Source organism: Homo sapiens, chromosome X (assembly GCF_000001405.40).
Source record: "Homo sapiens chromosome X, GRCh38.p14 Primary Assembly".
Lineage (NCBI taxonomy): Eukaryota > Metazoa > Chordata > Mammalia > Primates > Hominidae > Homo > Homo sapiens.
The window spans coordinates 42887925-42889917 of NC_000023.11; the positions used below are offsets into that span (position 1 = coordinate 42887925).

The 1993-nt window shown below is 46.4% G+C and overlaps 1 annotated feature.

Moving 5' to 3' along the window:
• Window positions 620-1166: an enhancer, noted in NCBI's record as "OCT4-NANOG-H3K4me1 hESC enhancer chrX:42747793-42748339 (GRCh37/hg19 assembly coordinates)". NCBI's record gives its function as "activates a minimal SCP1, AML or CMV promoter by ChIP-STARR-seq in primed H9 embryonic stem cells {active_cell/tissue: H9 hESC(primed)}" and the evidence as "EXISTENCE:reporter gene assay evidence [ECO:0000049][PMID:30033119]".

The window sequence follows — 1993 nt, forward strand, 5'->3', positions numbered from 1 at the left end:
CAGAGCAAATTCTTTGCCTTTATTTTAGATTTTGTCAGAGGCAGCAGATTTTTATAACAAAAAGAATTTTAAAATAAGAAGTTTTAATTGTGGGAGGAAGTAGTGGCGATAATGATAAAATTAAGTAAAGCTCAATCTTCACTGATCTTGCTTGAAAAAGTGGATAAAGAATAACAGGGTCCATGTAGAGTTTTAATTATGAATAACTATGCTTTCAATTTTGTGTACTAAACGTTTTCCTTTATTATCAGCTCTGACCTTAGAACTCTGAGATTTATGCATACTAATTGGGTTTTTAAAAATGTGTTCAGAGACAGCCACTCAAAAATAATTTTCTCATTGGATCAGGCACTGTTCAAGTGGAAATCAAAAGTATTTCAATGAGGCGTAAAACATCCAACAATAAGGGGTAAAAGAAACTATTTCTTTTTAAAATTTCTGTTTGAGAATAGGAACAGCTCCGGTCTACAGCTCCCACCGTGAGCGACGCAGAAGACGGGTGATTTCTGCATTTCCATCTGAGGTACCGGGTTCATCTCACTAGGGAGTGCCAGACAGTGGGCGCAGGCCAGTGGGTGCGCGCACCGTGCGCGAGCCGAAGCAGGGCAAGGCATTGCCTCACCTGGGAAGCGCACGGGGTGAGGGAGTTCCCTTTCCGAGTCAAAGAAAGGGGTGACAGACGCACCTGGAAAATCGGGCCACTCCCACCCGAATATTGCGCTTTTCAGACCGGCTTAAAAAACGGCGCACCACGAGACTATATCCCACACCTGGCTCGGAGGGTCCTACGCCCACGGAATCTCGCTGATTGCTAGCACAGCAGTCTGAGATCAAACTGCAAGGCGGCAGCGAGGCTGGGGGAGGGGCGCCTGCCATTGCCCAGGCTTGCTTAGGTAAACAAAGCAGCCGGGAAGCTCAAACTGGGTGGAGCCCACCACAGCTCAAGGAGGCCTGCCTGCCTCTGTAGACTCCACCTCTGGGGGCAGGGCACAGACAAACAAAAAGACAGCAGTAACCTCTGCAGACTTAAATGTCCCTGTCTGACAGCTTTGAAGAGAGCAGTGGTTCTCCCAGCACGCAGCTGGAGATCTGAGAACGGGCAGACTGCCTCCTCAAGTGGGTCCCTGACCCCTGACCCCCGAGCAGCCTAACTGGGAGGCACCCCCCAGCAGGGGCACACTGACACCTCACACTGCAGGGTATTCCAACAGACCTGCAGCTGAGGGTCCTGTCTGTTAGAAGGAAAACTAACAAACAGAAAGGACATCCACACCGAAAACCCATCTGTACATCACCATCATCAAAGACCAAAAGTAGATAAAACCACAAAGATGGGGAAAAAACAGAACAGAAAAACTGGAAACTCTAAAACGCAGAGTGCCTCTCCTCCTCCAAAGGAACGCAGTTCCTCACCAGCAACGGAACAAAGCTGGATGGAGAATGATTTTGACGAGCTGAGAGAAGAAGGCTTCAGACGATCAAATTACTCTGAGCTACGGGAGGACATTCAAACCAAAGGCAAAGAAGTTGAAAACTTTGAAAAAAATTTAGAAGAATGTATAACCAGAATAACCAATACAGAGAAGTGCTTAAAGGAGCTGATGGAGCTGAAAACCAAGGCTCGAGAACTACGTGAAGAATGCAGAAGCCTCAGGAGCCGATGCGATCAACTGGAAGAAAGGGTATCAGCGATGGAAGATGAAATGAATGAAATGAAGCGAGAAGGGAAGTTTAGAGAAAAAAGAATAAAAAGAAATGAGCAAAGCCTCCAAGAAATATGGGACTATGTGAAAAGACCAAATCTACGTCTGATTGGTGTACCTGAAAGTGATGCGGAGAATGGAACCAAGTTGGAAAACACTCTGCAGGATATTATCCAGGAGAACTTCCCCAATCTAGCAAGGCAGGCCAACGTTCAGATTCAGGAAATACAGAGAACGCCACAAAGATACTCCTCGAGAAGAGCAACTCCAAGACACATAATTGTCAGATT